The following is an 18586-nucleotide window of genomic DNA, read 5'->3' as shown; positions in this document are numbered from 1 at the left end:
CAAGTGATTTTTACTTTTATCATTGTTTTTTTTTCCTCCTTTGAAAACTGAGGAATCATATTTGTAACATTTCACTGTCTCCAAGTATTCTATAGTAGTAGAATAAAATTTAAAATATGTACTAGTGGGACAGACATATATTCAAATGCAGACCCCCAACAAGTTTGGTCCAAAAGCTTATTAGTAAGGTGAGAATAAGTAAGTGAAAAACCATTTCATCATAGAAACAATATTATTTAAAAGGTTCATGTTTTAAAAGATTATGTTTTCAGAGTGACTCACACAAACCTCATAATACATCTAAAAAGCATATTAACAGTAATAGTCCATTATCCCTAAAAACAGCATTTTTTTCTTTTTCTTTTTTTTTTTTTTTTGAGACAGAGTCTTGCTCTGCTGCCCAGGCTGGAGTGCAGTGGCTCAGTCTCAGCCCACTGCAACCTCTGCATCCCGGGTTCAAGTGATTCTCCTGCCTCGGCCTCCCAAGTAGCTGAGGTTACAGGCACCCGCCACCACGCCCGGCTAATTTTTTGTATTTTTAGTAGAGACAGGGTTTCACCATGTTGGTCAGGCTGGTCTCCAACTCCTGACCTCATGATCCGCCTGCCTTGGCCTCCCAAAGCGCTGGGATTAAAGGTATAAGCCATCGTGCCCAGCCTTTCTTTCTTTTTTAATAGATAAACACAATTTCAGTTCAGGATTCTGTGACTACCCTCTATTCTACCCTTTTGACCCCAGCTCAGGCACTATTTAGTGCCTCCAGCATCACAGCAGCTGGGGTAGTTGGGGGAATGTTTCCAGATGTGATCATGTCCCTCTTTCATGTCCTCTGAATTGATGCTCAAAGGGCAGTTGCTTCAAATGAGGCAGAGGCTCTACCTACTGATTTGAGATACAGCTAGCTGTGTGTTAAGCTGTATCCTCCTAAGTTCGGAACTGATTTGGTATATAAATGGAAGACGAAGACAAATTTTAGTTTAATCATTCCAGACTCACCAAGGATTCCAACTGTGTTATTTGATTTCTTGCTTTTCGGAGCTCCTTAAGAATTACATGCAATTGATGCTGCACATGTTGACGGTCGAGTTTTTCATTTTCAAAGTCTAAAGTACATGCCTGCATCTGGAAAAGGCCCAGAACAAGACCATTACAGCTGATACAGACTGTCTAGTTCTCTTGACTGGATGCTCACATTTTTTTATTAGCACATGAAGAAAATATTTATTGTACCATCGTAGCAAGAATTCACCTAAGCACCATGAAATGTTAATAAACGAGGCAGCTTATGGCTGAGGATTTGGTTTATCCAAGGAGCAAAGCCAACGCTGAGGTATAGGTGAATGAAGAGCAGCTTAAGAAGTTGTTGATTAGAATTACTCCTCCCTATCCACCTTTTTTAAGGGGGAAGAAGGAGAAGGGAAAGAGATAGCTATTCCCTGGTTTGGAATATACTAAAAATCTCTGCTTTACACCATTTATAATACATTCTGAGACTAAATGGTGTCTCTCCAAGTTCTGCTTGAAGTTATAAGGTAGCCCTACTTAGGAGACATTGTTAGGCTAGGAGCTACAGCCACTGGGGAAGAGCAAAATTTGCCAAGGCCAACATCTACCTGTCAAGAAAACTGCCATCACACCTCAAGAATCTGTTTAGCCTAAGGTCAGCAACAGGAATAAGTGGCTAGCAGAGTCTCTTGAAATATCTTTTTTATTGAAGAAGAAAGACTTTTATTGAAGTCTTTTAAAGACACTTTTCACAACTTTCAAACAGTTCTCCATAGAACAGCATAAACATGAGGAAAAACTGCATTTTCTAACAGGCAGAATTGAATTTAGAAGCAACCCGAATGAGTACCTGTTGTTCCAACAGAGCTACCCTTGTTTGTTCTTCTTGCTGCTTTAGCAGAGATGTGTAAAGAAACTGGACCTGTAGGACATAAAGAGAACCAATGCTGTCACATCCAACCTTTTCCGGCTTGACCTGGGATGCACGGAAAGCTCACATCACAAGTCTCACATCTCTAACCAGGACAACACCTGCTAGTCAGGGGTGAATCATTCCAGCTGGCCATCTGATGGCTATCTATGCCAGCAGCTAAGCAGTATACCACCGCCCTTGCCGAGAGTTCCCTGAGGCACACAGACTGAATGCTGATAAACAGCACTGAACTCTGCAGCAGCCATGCCCCCTTTCCTGGAGGTTCTGACACTTCTGAGTAGGATAACATGGGTGGCAGTGCTGGGCCCTTAGCCAGAGCTGAAGCAAAATTTAATCAGCAGACTTAATCTCTCCCTAGTATCACTGCTCATACCTGTAGACAGAAGAAGTGTGAGTGGTAAAGACTAAGATGGCAGGCTGGACACAGTGGCTTGCACCTGTAATCCCAGCACTTTGGGAGGCCAAGGCAGGTGGATCACATGAGGTCAGGAGTTTGAGACCAGCCTGGCCAACATGGTGAAACCCCATCTCTACTAAAAATATAAAAATTGGCCAGCCGTGGTGGTGGGCACCTGTAATCCCAGCTACTCAGGAGGCTGAGGCACAAGAATCACTTGAAGACAGGAGGTGGAGGTTACAGTGAGCTGAGATTACGCCATTGCATTCCAGCCTGGGCGACAGAGCAAGACCCTGTCTCAGAAAAAAAAAAAGAAAAAAAAGACTAAGATGGCAAATGTTATAGATGGACTTGTTACTGTCCCATCACCAGCACCCTCAACTTTTGTAGGACTGTTAAAAATTATTATTAAAATAGTAGCAATAACTAGCATTTACCTCGCTTAGTTTACAAAGCACTTTTACCTTCTCTCAACTGACGCTCACCAAAGCCCTATATGGCAAGCAGAGGTTATTATTAATTTGACAAGGGAATAACCAGTGAGTAGTCAGAGAAGTTAGGTGATTTGCCTAAGGCCATATATCCTGGACTAGAGACTAGGCATGGATTCCAAATAATGTTCCTTCCATGATGCCAGGCTGCAAAGCAAAATCTAAATTAAAGAGTTCCATCAAAGTACTGTTCAATTCCAATAATCCTAACGTAGTAACTCCAACATTATTATGATACCATAGCATAAGGCTATGAGCATAACAAGAACATGGAAGATGCCATGTGAATTCACTTGAGCACATATCATCACCATTAAGATGCCAGTCTAGGAATCAGCCTCGATTCCTCTCATTACTTCACTTCTTCTTTTGGCTTCTCACATATACTGACCTCCTCCTCACTCAGAGCCTTTGTGTGTACAATTTCCTCCATTGAGAGGAAAAGTCACCCACCTCACTGGGTCCTCCTCATCATCAGGTCTTTGTCCAAATGCCATCTCCTCAGAGAGGCCTCCACTGGTCCCCAATTTCCCTTTGTCATGTCACCCTGTTGCATTTTCTTTAGTTTCCTTATTTATTGTTTATGGTCTGTTTCTGTTCTGGAATATAACTCCCATGAGGGGCAGGAATTTGTTTTGTCCCTAGCCAGTTCTCTAGTGGTCAAATAGTCCCTGACACTTAGAAAGTGTTCGGTGAACACTCTGAATTATGGATCTGGTTAAGTTTACCTGAGATAAGAGCTCTTCGGATCTCTTCTTCTCTTCTTCAAGTTTTCCCCTAGCAATATCATTCTCTTCCCTGAGTTTTTGTATCTTCTCTGTTTTATGCCTATCATCTTCCAGATGTTGCACATCTGCCCTTCTTTGTGAATACAACAGCTGATTTAAATTGTGAACTTCTTTTTGGGTTTCTTCATATTTTCTTCGAAATTCACTCAGTTCAAAACTCAGCTGAGTTATGGTTTGTCGTTCAACCTCAAGATCTTTTTTTGCACTTGCCAAGAGATCGTTGTAACATTTCTGCTTCTCTTCTTGAAGATAACCTATGACAAACAACATTACGGCACAACTCACTTTATAAAATAAATAATATTCCTGAAAAGAGAAACATCAAACATCTAAATGAATCACACTATTTCCTTAGTTTACAACATGAAAAGTCAAGAGATAGGGACTATGGTTGATATTTGATGAAATAAAAAACAAGTTCAGGTATACTATTTGAAGTTATAAAACTCACAAATAGAAGAACTAAAAACAGTAACATCTATTCTGTTGGGAGGGAAAGTCTCAAGAAGTTCAATCAACAAATAGGAACACAAGCTCATTATTTATATGTGGAGATAACTATCAAAATTAAAAATAGAAATATTAAGAGCAGTTGCCTGATGGGAGGAAGAAACGGGGATTGGGATGGGAAAGACAGGGCAAGGTCCTTCTTAACTATTACATTATTCTAACAAGTGCTTATATTGCTTTGATAAAACAGACACACAGAGAAAGAGAGAGAGAGAGAGAGAGAACTGTATTACCAAAGAAAAGAAATTAGACTTAGCCCATAACTAAAATCCTGCTTTTACATAAGCACATATTTTATAGAAGCAACTTAGTGCCATTAGGGCTGACAGCTTTGAAGTGCCTCCAGAGACATTTATAGTTTCTTTTTAGCATTAGCTTTGTTTTAAGTATTCAAATATGATTCTCCAATCTTATGAGTCTTGTTCCCCTTTCTTTAGACTTCTCTATAAAATTCAAGGCTTTGGTCCCCTCCAAACTGTCAGTCTTTTAAGGAGAGCATTGCATGGAGTTTCTCATTTTTCTTTTCTTAGCTTGTCATCTAGAATTGCTAAACCTATTTCTTCATCTGTAAAATGAGAATACTGACCTTTCCTGCCCCGCCTCTTAGGGTTGCTCTAAAACTCCACTAAGATCTATGTAAGGGAAACTGCAAAGTGCTTGGCAAAAAGACAGCATCGTGAATGAGAAATTTCATCTCAATTCTATACCTGAAGTTCAAATGATTTAAGGATCATCTAAAAAAGGCATTCTTTCTCCTGGGGTTGATATGAATAAGTGCTGAAGGGAAGCAAAGTGAAAAGAGAATTGTGACAAGGCCAACTCTGGGGGAAGTAAAAGCTGGAGAAGGACTTTGAAAAAGGGGAAGGACATTCATGGGTAGAGAGAACTGAATGTGATTTCAGAACTGCCAAAGATCACCCATTAGCCTGTGTTGGTACTTTCTTTTGATCTGAAAACGTTAGGAAATAAAACTTGCAAAAATGGTATTTCTTACTTCAGGGCTATAAGACTTGCTCTTATTTTACTTTCTAACACATATCTATAAAAATCTAAATTTGATGAATCATTCCTTTTGGAAAATGTCAGGCCTATCCCTAGAGAACATTTTTATACCAGTCAGTACCTTCTGATTCAGGCTTTTTTGTCTGCTGTGGGAGTGAATGAGCAGCTGTTTCCGTTTTCTTTTCCAACTCAAAGATCTTTGCTAAAAGTCCTTTTACATAGACTTCCCGCTGCTGATCATACACGAGCCACTGCTGATTTTTCTCCAGAGCCTTAATGGGAAGATGAAAGAAAATCAACAGTAAAATAAAAAAACAAAATCTTAAAATGGGCAAGAGAGTCCAAGTGATGTAGTCTTTTCCAACAAAAACTCTATGGCTCATAGACTAATTCTGGGCAACCATTCTATGTTACATGCCTTCAGAATACATAACAACATGACACCATCGTAGTTTATGTGGGATTAAGTTCATTTGTTTGCTTTTTTCAGTACACAACTTGCTTTGTGTGTGCGTATATGTCATTCTCTGTAAACTAAAACACGTTTTATGACAGACATGGAGATGAACTGCTCAGAATCCCCCTTCAAGAGCCCTGCCCAGCTGGCTGGGTGCGGTGGCTCTCGCCTGTAATCCCAGCACTTTGAGAGGCCGAGGGTGGTGGATCACCTGAGGTCAGGAGTTCAAGACCAGCCTGGCCAACATGGTGAAACCCTGTCTCTAATAAAAATACAAAAATTAGCCAGGCATGGTGGCGCGTGCCTGTAATCCTAACTACTCAGGAGGCTGAGGCAGGAGAATCACTTGAACCCGGGAGGTGGAGGTGGCAGTGAGCTGAGATCATGCCCCTGCACTCCAGCCTGGAAACTCCAGTGAAACTGCGTCTCTCAAAAAAACAAACAAAAAAAAGAGGATCTCTGCCCAGCTGCATGGTGAGTGATTAGCTGATTAGCTGACAGCCTCCATCTGTTAATTCCTTCAAGTCCCTGTCAGCTTTTGAGCTGAGCTGGATTGGCCCCAGCCAACAACTGAACAAGTGCCTAACTATTGCTGCCCAACGAGGACTCTGCTTTTCAGCACTCTCTGCTCTGGAGCCCCCCATGGGGTGACAGAGACCTTGTTAGGTTTTCATCATGGTCTGATGGTCTCCCTGGCATAACTACTTCCTTTTTCCTTGCACAGATCTTGCTCCCCAATAAACCGTCTGCACTCCTAACATCATCTCAGTGTCTTCTTTAGAGGATCAAACTTAACAGCTACCTTCTCTCTTTACTACCAACTTTCATCCTTTATATGATCTTTTATAACCCAATTAAAAACTCCAAGCTGCCGTCACTCACCTGTTTGTATAGGGGTTTCATACTTACAGTGAGTTGAATAATGTCCCCCAAAATTCATGTCCACTTGAAACCTCAGAATATGACCTTATTCAGAAATGGGGTCTGTGGGCTGGGCAGTGGCTCACACCTGTAATCCCAGCACTTTGGGAGGCCGAGGCGGGCGGATTACTTGAGGCCAGGAGTTCAAGACCAGCCTGGCCAACATGGCAAAACCCTGTCTCTATTTTTTAGCCGGGCATGGTGGCACGTACCTGCAGTCCCAGCTACTTGGGAGGCTGAGGTAGCAGATCACTTGAATGCGGGAGGCGGAGGTTGCAGTGAGCCAAGATTGCGCCACTGCACTCCAACCTAGACAATAGAGTGAGACCCCGTCTCAAAAAAAAAAAAGGGGAGGGGGAGGCTTTGCAGATGCAATTAGTTAAAATGAGGCCATACTGGAGTAGGGTGAGCCCTAAATCCAATGACTAGTATCCTTATAAAAAGGAGCAGACACACAGATATACATAGAGAATGAGGCCATGTGAAGACAGAAGCTTTGTATGGCAGGGATTGTAACCAGTTCATTTCACACCAGAGGACTTGCTATAAATCCAGAGCTCATAGTAATCTGAACTTCGAAGAACCTATAACAGTATCAGCAAAGCTCATTTTTTCAAGAGTGGAATACAGATTTCTGATTACTATTTGGAGAACAACACAGTAGCTCTTAAAATGATCTATTATGCATAGATAAAATTCTTCTATTTAATTTCAATCTGACAATACAATATAGTGTTTCCTTTTATAGCAGCCACTCTTTCCAGACCTCTAGTTCCACAATGAAGAGGACATAAGGAGCTTAAAGGTTTTGGGTGTCTATCAGGGCAACTGCTTTCCGGTAAGAATTTCCATCCTTTAAAGACATTGATTGAGTCCCATATCCAGAAAGATCTACATGTATGGAAACTCTTATTAAGTCTAGAGAGTTTCTCTAAGCTTTGTTAGGCTCTTTCTACTAGCACCCTACAAACTCTTGAGCAAAGCTCCTGGGTATGGCACTTAAAGGATTTTCAGTGTCTGTTTGCTATAGAATTAGCAAATGAATTAGGAAGACAGAAACAGTCTCTAAAATCAAAGACTTAGCCCAGGAGCCTCAGCCACTTTACCAGACACTTTTCTCTCTGCATCCATTAGGGAACAGTAGTCCTCTTTACATGGCTTAAGAGTCCATTTGTCAAGTGGAGATATTGTATATCCATTTTGTATTATATATCGTCAATAGTGTAAAGCTCTGTGGATGGCTGTTTTCACTGTAGTAATTTGATTTTTGATTTAAAGAGTCTGTCTTATTGAAACTTCGTGGTAGATATATGATTGTTCAATGTATTTTCTTTTAACTTTTGTGTATGTTTGACATTTTTCGTAATAAAAATTGGGAAAAATAATCATAAAAGTTGGGAAAAATAATCAGTGAACTTAGTACAGTTGAGAAGATTGCTAGGATTCTTGGCCTATCTTAAAACAGGCTGCAGTAGTCACTCTCTTATTCAGCTCCACTGCCATCCCCAGTGAGGTTCTTACTCAGAACCTATGCATCTTTCAAAAGAAAGGACTCATGAGAAACCCAGGATCAGATTTAAATTTACTTGATAAGAGAGGAAGCACTGTATGACTCACAATGCACATGTATATCCAAATACCTATAAATTATAGTGTGTTAGATACTAAAGATACCTAATTTTATACTAAATTTTACATTTGTCCACATTTAAGTAGTATTTTAATACAAATAATTTAAGTCAAAATTAAATGGTCATGAAATTTTTTTTTTTTTTTTTTTTTTTGAGACGGAGTTTCACTCTTGTTGCCCAGGCTGGAGTGCAATGGTGCCATCTTGGCTCACTGCAACCTCCACCTCCCGGGTTCAAGCGATTCTCTTGCCTCAGCCTCCCGAGTAGCTGGGATTACAGGCATGCGCCACCACACCCAGCTAATTTTGTATTTTTAGTAGAGATGGGGTTTCACCATGTTGGTCTCAACTCCTGACCTCAGGTGATCTGCCCGCCTTGGCCTCCCAAAGTGCTGGGATTGCAGGCATGAGCCACTGAGCCCGGCCAATTTTTTTTTTTTTTGAAACGGAGTCTCGCTCTGTGGCCCCGGCTGGAATACAGTGGCATGATTTCAGCTCACTGGAAACTCTGCCTCCCGGGTTCCAGCAATTCTCCTGCCTCAGCCTCCCGAGTAGCTGGGATTACAGGCGTGTACCACCACGCCCAGCTTTTTTGTATTTTTATTAGAGACGGGGTATCACCATGTTGGCCCAGCTGGTCTCGAACTCCTGATCTCAGGTGATCTGCCCTTCTTGTCCTCCCAAAATGCTGGAATTACAGACGTGAGCCACTGCGCCAGCCCAATTTTATTTTATTTATTTTATTTTTCTTTTCTTTTAAAGGAACCAGCTGGGTGCAGTGGCTCACGCCTGTAATCCCAGCACTTTGGGAGGCCGAGGCGGGCATATCACAAGGTCAGGAGTTCGAGACCAGCCTGGCCAATATGGTGAAACCCCGTCTCTACTAAAAATACAAAACATTAGCCAGGTATGGTGGCGGGCGCCAGTGGTCCCAGCTACTCCGGACGCTGAGGCAAGAGAATCACTTGAGCCCAGGAGGTGGAGGTTGCAGTGAGTTGAGATTGTGCCACTGCACTCCAGCCTGGGCAACGGAGCGAAACTCCATCTCAAAAAAATAAATTAATTAATTAAAAAAAAAGGAACCATACATCACTTAAGTATGAGAAACAAAAATACATGTTAGTTGAAGATTCAAGGGGTAGTATTCTAAAAGGCCACATGATGGCGATGTTCCCTCAATAAACATTTCCTTATGCCACCTCTTCTCACTGTGTGCATCGGCTTTCTATCAGTATCAATACACGGAGTTGATAGCTATCATAAATATTGATTGTATTAGTTTTGAGTTTTTAGAGTCAAACATCATTGCATTAGATATGCCTTCCAGCTTTGTGTCATCTATACGTTTGTTAGGCATGCATTTAACAATTTCCTCCAAGTTACCAATAAAAATGTAGAACAAAAGTGGGCAAAATAACATGTCCTGTGGAGTCCGGGCATGGTGGCTCACGCCTGTAATCCCAGCACTTTGGGAGGCTGAGGCAGGCAGATCACGAGGTCAGGAGTTCAAGACCAGCCTGGCCAACATGGTGAAACCCCGTCTCTACTAAAAATAAAAAAAAATTAGCCAGGCGCAATGGCAGGTGCCTGTAATCCCAGCTACTCTGGAGGCTGAGGCAGAAGAATCGCTTGAACCAGGGAGGCAGAGGTTGCAGTGAGCTGAGACCGTGCCACTGCACTACAGCCTCGGCGACAGAGTGAGACTCTGTCTCAAAAAAAAAAAAAAAAAAAGTCCTGTGGAATGCTATAAAGGTCTTCGCCCAGGTTTGACAAGAATCCACTAAATATTCTGTAGACAAAAATTCCAACCAACGTAGATTAAAATGTTAGCCTATACTGGAGGAATAAAAAATGTGGGTCAATTGACAAAACTGCAGTAGGAATGGTAGATTATAGAAGTATTGTATCCATGTTAAATTTATTAAAGTTGCTATCTGTGCTATAGTTGTGGGCAAGAGTATCCTCGTTCTTAAGAAATACACATTGAAGTCTACGGCCATACCACCCTGAACGCGCCTGATCTTGGCTGATCTTGGAAGCTAAGCAGCGTTGAGTCTGTTTAGTACTTGGATGGGAGAACAAACACACATTGAAGTATATGGGTTTAAACGGCTGTGGATATGTACAATTCATTCTCAAATGGTTCAGAAAAAAATACTACATGTATATGTGTGTGGGTGAGGGTTGAAAGAGGAAAAACAGAGTGCAAAATGGGGTAACATGTTAACAACGGTTGAATTTTAGTAAAGGGGATATGGGCGTTATATGTTATTATATGTTATCATACTCATTCTTGTAACTTTTCTGTTAATTTGAATGTTTGCAGACAAAATAATTTTAAAACAATTATTATTTATCTTCCCTAAGTTCTATGCTTAAAATTCGGATATTTGAATTTAAGAGCAAGAAACGCCTATTAAAACTGTCTTTTGGCTATTTGGTTTGTCTAGTTTATACTAACATAATGCTTAAATAAATACTAAAAGTACTGACATTTGACAATGCTTACGACATTAACTCTACGTAATTATTTCAACTGTCGGCCAGAGCGAAATGGTAACTGAACAATGATACAACTGGGCCTAAAGAAGCTGTACGTAGCTTTTAGGGCTTATTTAAATATAACAAATACTAATTCTGAAAATACGTGGGTAAGCTTCTACAGGAAGTTTCTGCGAACTTTGAGAGGGTGATGGAACTAGAACTGCTGAGCTCTCAAAAGCCAAATAATGTGCCAGTGTCGGTGCTGCAAGAAGTGAGATGTCTCTTTCCATGTTCCCTAAGTCCTCCAACTACAATTTTCCCCCTGGTCTCAAAGATTTGCTGAAATTCCAAAGGGAAAACCAGAGCTAAACCACTTCTTGCTCCTCAAATATAAGTTCTGGCTGGGTGTAATGACTCACACCTGTAATCCCAGCACTTTGGGAGGCTGAGGCAGGTGGGTCATCTGAGGTCAGGAGTTGGAGACCAGCCTGGCCAACATGGCGAAACCCTGTCTCTACTAAAAGTACAAAAATCAGCTGGGCATGGTGGCACGCACCTGTAATCCCTGTTACTCAGGAGGCTGAGGCATGAGAATCACTTGAAACCAGGAGACGGAGGTTGCAATGAGCCAAGATCGCGCCACTGCACTCCAACCTGAGTGACAGAGTGAGACTCCATCTCAAAATAATAATAATAATAATAATAATAATAATAATGTTAATGGTTCTCAAAGCGTGGTCCAAGGGCCAGCAGCAGCAGCAGCTAGGAGTTTACTGGAAATGCAGAAAACTCAGGCACTACCCCAGACCTAGTATATTAGAGTCTGTGAATCTTGCTCAGTCTAGACCACCATTTGTAGAAGAGTTGGGTTAAATTTTACCCCATTTGTATAAACGCCTTTCTAAGACAGAGGAGACAAGCACAATGTGACCCTTAAATAAGCTGAGAAGATAGAACAAAAAGCTTGGGCTTACATATGTAGTATTTCAAAGTTAATTTCATAAAAAAGAATCATCATTATCTAAAAATACCCTCAGGTGATATCTGAAGCAGTTAGCACTGAGATGCCTAAAAAGCACATGTAAGCTTAAGATAATGGCATCTATTTTCAGGTACTTTTCTAGAAGAGACACCAGTAAAATTCAAGAAACTTCCCAAGATTCCATCCAGTCATTCTTTCAAATGTTCTAGACACTGAGGATATAGCAATGTACAAAACATGCAAAAATCCTTCCTTCATATGACTTCTATTCTGATGGAAAGGTTGAACATTAAACAAGAGAAGTTAAATAGATTGTAAATTTAGCTGTAGAATGTGATGAGGAGGGAAAAGCAGGAGAAAAGAATAGGAATTGTCTGGGAGCTATAATTTTAGACAAAGTGGTCAGGCAGCCCCCATTCTGTCCTCCCCCAACCCCAAGAAAGTGGCATTTAAATAAAAACCTGCATGAGGTAGGGAGGAAATCATGAAGATATCTGGGGAAGAGTGTCCCAGGCAGAGGGAACAGAAAGAGAAAAGGTGGTTTATTCAAGGAGTAGCTGGAAAGCCATTGTGGTGCAGGTGGAGTAAATAAAGTGGAATGCAGGAGCTGTGTAAGATATTTCTAAATATGTGCATCTAATGCATAGGTATGGATATACATAGAATAACAAACTTCAGTGTAATAAGACATAGAACTTTTCCTTTTCATTCCAGTTACCTCTAGGTAAATTACGTATTCTGATAAGAGTACTTGGCACCTGGCTAGACATCCAGGAGATTTAAATTCTTCTTTTGAAGATCAAAAAGACTTCAAAGGATACTTGATAGATGAAGTAAAACAGAAATCTTAAGAACATGCTTATATCAGGATAGACATGCCAGTAATATTTTTGGAACCAAAATACCAACATACTGACCTAATACTTAAGTCAGAAACTTTATACTTCATATCTCTAAAACTTGAAAAAAATACACTGTAAGTAGCAGTCCTGTGTCCTCAATTTATTCCATTCCCAATAAAACCCACCAATCCATTTATCAGTTTGCAATAATACAGCTTTACTGTATAACTAAAATAACCTCATACCAAATTCTAGAGAAAGGAAGTACTGAGTGTACAAAGAACGTTTCCTTTTCAACCTACGAAAGCAAACCTTAGTTTCAAGAGAAGTATTCAAACCAAAGAGAGCATCTTGCATGGATAAACCAAAAGAGAAGATACTACAAATTAAATTACATTATAAGAATAAAATGGAGGCCAGGCACAGTGGCACACGCCCGTAATCCCAGCACTCTGGGAGGCCGAGGCAGGCAGATCACCTGAGGTCGGGAGTTCAAGACCAGCCTGGCCAACATGGTGAAACCCCATCTCTACTAAAAATAAAAATTAGCCGGGCGTGGTGGTGGGTGCCTGTAATCCCAGGTACTTGGGAGGCTGAGGCAGAAGAGTCACTTGAACCTGGGAGGTGGAGGCTGCAGTGAGCTGAGATCTCACCAGTCCATTCCAGCTTGGGCAACAGAGCAAGACTCCATCTCAAAAAGAGAAAAATACTGAAAAAACAAGAAACAATAAAATGATTGGGCAAATTAGGGAAATTAGATTTAGATAGAAAAGGGATGTTATTGAGGTATTTGGTGGCAGTGATAATTTCTAGGGCTGTCTACCCTACAGAGACCATGATGCCGGGCATGGTAGCTCACAGCTGTAATCCCAGCACTTTGAAAGGCTGAGGTGGGCAGATCACTTGAGGTCAGGAGTTTGAGACCAGCCTGGCCAACATGGTGAAACCCCATCTCTACTAAAAATACAAAAACTTAGCGGAGTGTGGTGGCTCGTGCCTGTAATCCCAGCTACTCAGGAGGCTGAGGTAGAACTGCTTGAACCCAGGAGACAGAGGTTGCAGTGAACCAAGATGCCACTGCACTCCAGCCTGGGCAACAGACCGAGACTTTGCCTCAGGAAAAAAAAAAAAAAAAGGGACTATGCTTAGAAGAAATGATTCTCGAATGTATAGAAAGAGACTTAAATGAAGCTCTCAAACCATTCAGTTTTTCTGTCACAGCACTAATGTTGCCAATTTCTGTAAAACTTAAGAATAAATGAATTAGCCCTCTTTACCCATAACTTAAAAGGAAATGAACTTACATCTTTCAGCTGTATTTCCATTTCATGAATATTATTTATTGATGAGTTGAAGCAGTTTGGAGCCACAGTCTGTAAATAATCCAACATTAGTTAACATCAGACATTCCACAATAGAAGTTGCCTCATTACATTCACCATAATAATACAGTATAACTCACGGGGGCATCCCGAAATCCAGATCTAGGCTGGGCACGGTGGCTCACGCCTATAATCCCAGCACTCTGGGAGGTTAAGGAGGGTGGATCATTTGAGGTCAGGAGTTTGAGACCAGCCTGGCCAACATGGCGAAAACCCATCTCTACTAAAAATACAAAAAGAAAAATTAGCTGAGCCTGGTGGCCTGTGCCTATAATCCCAGCTACACGGGAGGCTGAGGCAGGAGAATCACTTGAACCCGGGAGGTGGAGGCTGCAGTGAGCCGAGATTGCGCCACTGCACTCCAGCCTGAGCAATAGAGTGAGACTCTGTCTCAAAAAAAGAAAACAAAAAATCCAGATCTAGTAGATGGTGGTAAACCATCAAGCCAGGTGAGAGTTACCAGAGATAACCATTGTGAAAATTAAGATCCCCTGAAGTTTCCCAAACAGACTGGAAATCCTGAGATTTTCTATCTAATCTGACTTCTGCAGTCCTCTAGACCCCAGGATTGCCAGAATAGCCCTCAGTGCATATGAATAGCCCAGTGATTTTTACCAAAAAGACAAACACAAAACAACTAGGCTATTTAAATGACACCTAGAAGACATTAAATTGTCAAACAAAAGGTAAAATTTTTTTTCTAGAATCATGTTTTGTATTAATAATAGTATTAATTAGGCCGGGTGCAGTGGCTCGCGCCTATAATCCCAACACTTTGGGAGGGCAAGGCGGGTAGGATCACAAGGTCAGGAGTTTGAGACCAGCCTGGCCAATATGGTGAAACCCCATCTTTACTAAAAATACAAAAATTAGCCAGGCATGGTAGCGCACCTGTAGTCCCAGCTAGTCGGGGGGCTGAGGCAGAACCCGGGAGGAGGAGGTTGCAGTGAGCCAAGATCAGGCTTATGCCTGTAATCCCAGCACTTTGGGAGGCCGAGGCAGGCAGATCACCTGAGGTCAGGAGTTCAAGACCAGCCTGGCTAACATGGTGAAACCCCATCTCTACTAATAATACAAAAATTACTCCAGCCTGGGCAACAGAGCAAGATTCTATCTAAAAAAAAAAAGTATTAATTATTAATTAGTATTAGTTCATATAGATTATATGGAACTCAAAAATTATTTCTCTCCTCTTCATTTTCTCAGAGAAATAAAAGAGAAGTGGGTGGCTAGGTAGCCAGGCTGGCCAACAAACATAGAAAAAGCTGTATTTCAGTCTTTTAATAGCTATAAGAGACTTGTGAATACTGGCAAAGAAGCTCAAAAAAATTATTTTTCTCCAAAGATGCTCTATTCATTCACTTTAATATGTAGCCCTTTCTCTCTCTCAATTCAGTCCTCGAGGTGGAAACTATGACAAAGATAGTTCTCTAAATCCCTTTCCTTTTACCCTGGGCACACTGTAGACTGATTCCAGCCTTCCCTGTGGTTAGTGGAGCCATGTTCCAGTGGAATGTGAGCAGAGGTGAGATATGTCAATACCAGGCCTGGCCCCAGACCCCTCCTAGGCAGTTCTCCACAAGCTCCATCTCACAGCTACATACAGAGGACTTGGTGGGGGACCCTACCCTAAAGGAAGGTGGAGCCACTAGAAGGAAGGAACCTGGAGTCAAATGACTCTGTGGAGCAAAGCTTCCTCTACTCCAATCTGGACTAGACCAGCATGAGAGAAAAATAAACATTTGTTGCATAAGACACTGACATTTGGAAGTTGTTATAGGAGTCAGACATACTAGTTAATAAAGAAATCAATACGAGTAGCCCACAAAATTATTATAAGAATACATTTTTAAAAATTATAATTTCAGGCCAGATACGGTGGCTTATGCCTGTAATCCCAGCACTTTGGGAGGCTGAGGCAGGCGGATCACCTGAGGTAAGGAGTTCAAGACCAGCCTGGCCAACATGTTGAAACCCCGTCTCTATTAATAATACAAAAATCAGCAGGGCGTCGTGGCAGGTGCCTGTAATCCCAAATACTTGGGAGGCTGAGGCAGGAGAATTACTTGAACCCAGGTGGAGGTTGCAGTGAGCTGAGATTGCGCCATTGCACTCCAGCCTGGGTGGCAAAATGAGACTCTGTCTCAAAAAATAAAAAATAAATAAAAATTTTAAAAATTATAATTTCTACCAAGTTTGTATTTCACATTCCAAAAGTGGAGAAACTAACTCTTGAACTTCAAAGAAAAATTTTAGTCAGCTACTTTGAATCTGACTGTAACGTTTTATGAGTTTCAGCTCTGTGGAAATTCTCTAGAAAAACTTCAACTTTTTGAACTCATCTGCAGAAACACTCAAACGCCCATCTATGAAAATACACATAAATGTATAGGTCTGATCACTATCTCCCCTAAATGGGAAATAAAGTACAGAGAAAGATCCTTAACAGCACTGAGATATATTTGAAAGCTACAGATTTTCTACTATAGATGATTTTTTTTTTTTTGAGACAGAGGCTCACTCTGTCACCCAGGCCGGAGTACAGTGGCGCAATCTTGGCTCACTGCAACCTCCACCTTTCGGGTTCAAGCGATTCTAGTGCCTCAGCCTCCCGAATAGCTGGGATTACAGATGCGTGCCGTCACACTCGGCTAATTTTTGTATTTTTAGTAGAGATGGGGTTTCACTGTGTTGGCCAGGCTGGTCTCAAACTCCTGACCCCAGGTGATCTGCCTGCCTTGGCCTCCCAAAGTGGTGGGATTATAGGCGTGAGCCACCATGCCCAGCCTATAGATGATATTAATGTTAGTATTATTCGAATCTCCAAATCTCCAAAAGAATCAAAGGTCTGATCAATAAGTAACCATTTACCGAACACCTACTATATACTAGGCACTATGCGAGGCAATTTACATACATATTTACATTTAATTCTCACTATTCCTATCCTGATTTTACTGATGTGGAAACTCAGGTTTAGCTTATATGTTTAAAAAAAAAAAAAAGAAACTAAGATTTAGAACAGGGGTCTGGAGAAGTCTAGTATTGTCTCTAAGGCTATAAAGGTTAACAAATTTGTTCAGAGTCACAGAGCTGGCAAGTACAAAACCAAGATCTGAACTCACATGTCTATTTCTGTATCCTTGTTCTTTCTATGACGCTAGTGCCTCTCAAACAAAACGGGGAGAAAATGCAAGTGCAGTTAGGAAAAGTATACTTGATATTATAATTGTATGTTTCAAATATGAAAAATAACCAAAAAAATGAAGCCTACTGTTTTCATGATACAAACTATAGAAATAAGAGCTCAAAAAAAATCTTGGTAATTGTAAATACACAGTAGATGCTGTCTTCTGAATATTCCTCCAGGCAAATCAATGGTACAAGGAGTGGAGGGTACCATATTAACTATTTTTGCTTATAGAGAAGGGACTGGGCTATTAAAAAAAGTGAAGTGACCTGATAGTATACTATACTAATCATTTGTCTCATCATTTGGGAAGCATGTCTTAACAAACTCATTCCTCCTAAGAATTACAAACTGTATCAGAAAGAAAAAAAAAATCTGGGTTTAAAGAAATGATTAGCACCTGTGATAAACGGAGTGTATTGGTTTTGCTTTCAAGTTCAGCAATTCGTGAGGTTGCAGCAGACAACTGTTGTTTCAATACGTCTTTCTCTTCAGATAAGGCTTTCAACACCTGCTCCCTCCTTTCTCCTTCTCTCGTTGTCTCTTCCAGCTGTTCAAGCAATGTGGTAGTACTATATCTGGCCTTCAGTTGGTCTCTCAGTCGCTGTATTTCTTTGTCCTTCTCTGTGAGTTGATAAGCATTCTTCTCCTTCTCAGCCTCAAGGACTCGAATTTTCTAGACATAAACTAAGAAGAATCTTAGAACAAAGCCAGGTCAAACATCTAGCTAAACAATATATACTTCAACAAGCATTTATGAAGCATTTATTATCAAGTCAGCATTACGCTAAATACCAAGGCCAAAAAAGATTAGGAAGCCAAAGTTTTATGTTCAGATAGCTCACAGAGAAGTAAGCCAATGTATTAATGCAACGTTGTAAGTGCTGTAGTTAAGACAGATTAAAAAATGAGCACAGACACAAAGAAAGGAGAAACCACCTCTATCAAGGGTGGTGAGAAAAAGCTAAAGAAGGGCTAGCTTTCCCATGAGTATTTGGTAATCATTCTTCCATAACACTGGATCTTGTAAAAACTAAGAGCTAAAAGTCGGTCACACAAGATATACATGCTCCTTAATGAATTTGAATCAGTGGAACTTAAAAGTTACAGAATATTTCAGCAGGAGAGGGATGCATTCATTAACCTGCTTACTTTCGATAAATGATTCAGTATTGAATCTAGAAGGTGATCTCTAAAGGAATGCTTAACATCTTCAAAGATTCACAAGATATACATAAGTAATGTTTTTTAAACTGCTGCTGGCATAAAGGAAAAAGTAAAATAAAAAGATAATAGAAATAATTATTAAAATTATAGGCTAACAGGATCAAAACAGCATGAAGTTAAAACTTGAATTTAGGAAGAAAAAAGCAGCAGTTGTTCAAATATAAAATGGGGAAAATTTAAGTTTAGGGGCATGGTTATTCATTTGAAAATAATGAGGAGATTATAGTTGGCCACAAGCTTAACTCAAATCAGTAGTATGAGACAGATAACAGAGCCATACAATTTTAGGCTTTAATGGAGTACAGTATCCAGCTAAGTAGATGTAACACTACTATTTCAATCTG

General features: G+C 40.6%; 1 protein-coding gene and 1 pseudogene across 8 annotated transcripts in view, besides 1 other annotated feature; one reads left to right on the top strand and one right to left on the bottom strand.

Moving 5' to 3' along the window:
- Positions 1-18586, bottom strand: part of CEP55 (centrosomal protein 55) — a 32481-nt gene that overhangs the window by 8289 nt on the left and 5606 nt on the right. For 4 of the 8 annotated variants that reach the window (NM_018131.5, XM_017016372.2, NM_001127182.2 and 1 more), the window contains exons 3-8: positions 17416-17691; positions 13748-13816; positions 5249-5399; positions 3556-3869; positions 1856-1927; positions 997-1122 (exon numbers count right to left, since the gene is read on the bottom strand). In NM_018131.5, coding sequence (NP_060601.4) covers positions 997-1122; positions 1856-1927; positions 3556-3869; positions 5249-5399; positions 13748-13816; positions 17416-17691 — 1008 coding nt within the window. Of the gene's footprint in view, positions 1-996; positions 1123-1855; positions 1928-3555; positions 3870-5248; positions 5400-13747; positions 13817-17415; positions 17714-18586 lie in introns of all 8 variants that reach the window. The other 4 variants (XM_011539919.2, XM_047425416.1, XM_011539918.2 and 1 more) reach the window with 2 other exon arrangements.
- Positions 9158-9452: a silencer, noted in NCBI's record as "tiled region #3496; K562 Repressive DNase unmatched - State 12:CtcfO". NCBI's record gives its function as "represses a minimal TATA promoter and a strong SV40 promoter by Sharpr-MPRA in K562 cells {active_cell/tissue: K562}" and the evidence as "EXISTENCE:reporter gene assay evidence [ECO:0000049][PMID:27701403]".
- On the top strand, positions 10124-10256 carry RNA5SP323 (RNA, 5S ribosomal pseudogene 323; annotated as a pseudogene).

The sequence above is a fragment of the Homo sapiens genome, chromosome 10 (assembly GCF_000001405.40).
Source record: "Homo sapiens chromosome 10, GRCh38.p14 Primary Assembly".
Lineage (NCBI taxonomy): Eukaryota > Metazoa > Chordata > Mammalia > Primates > Hominidae > Homo > Homo sapiens.
Note: the sequence above shows the minus strand (reverse complement) of the source record. Positions and strands in the feature narration are given on the sequence as shown.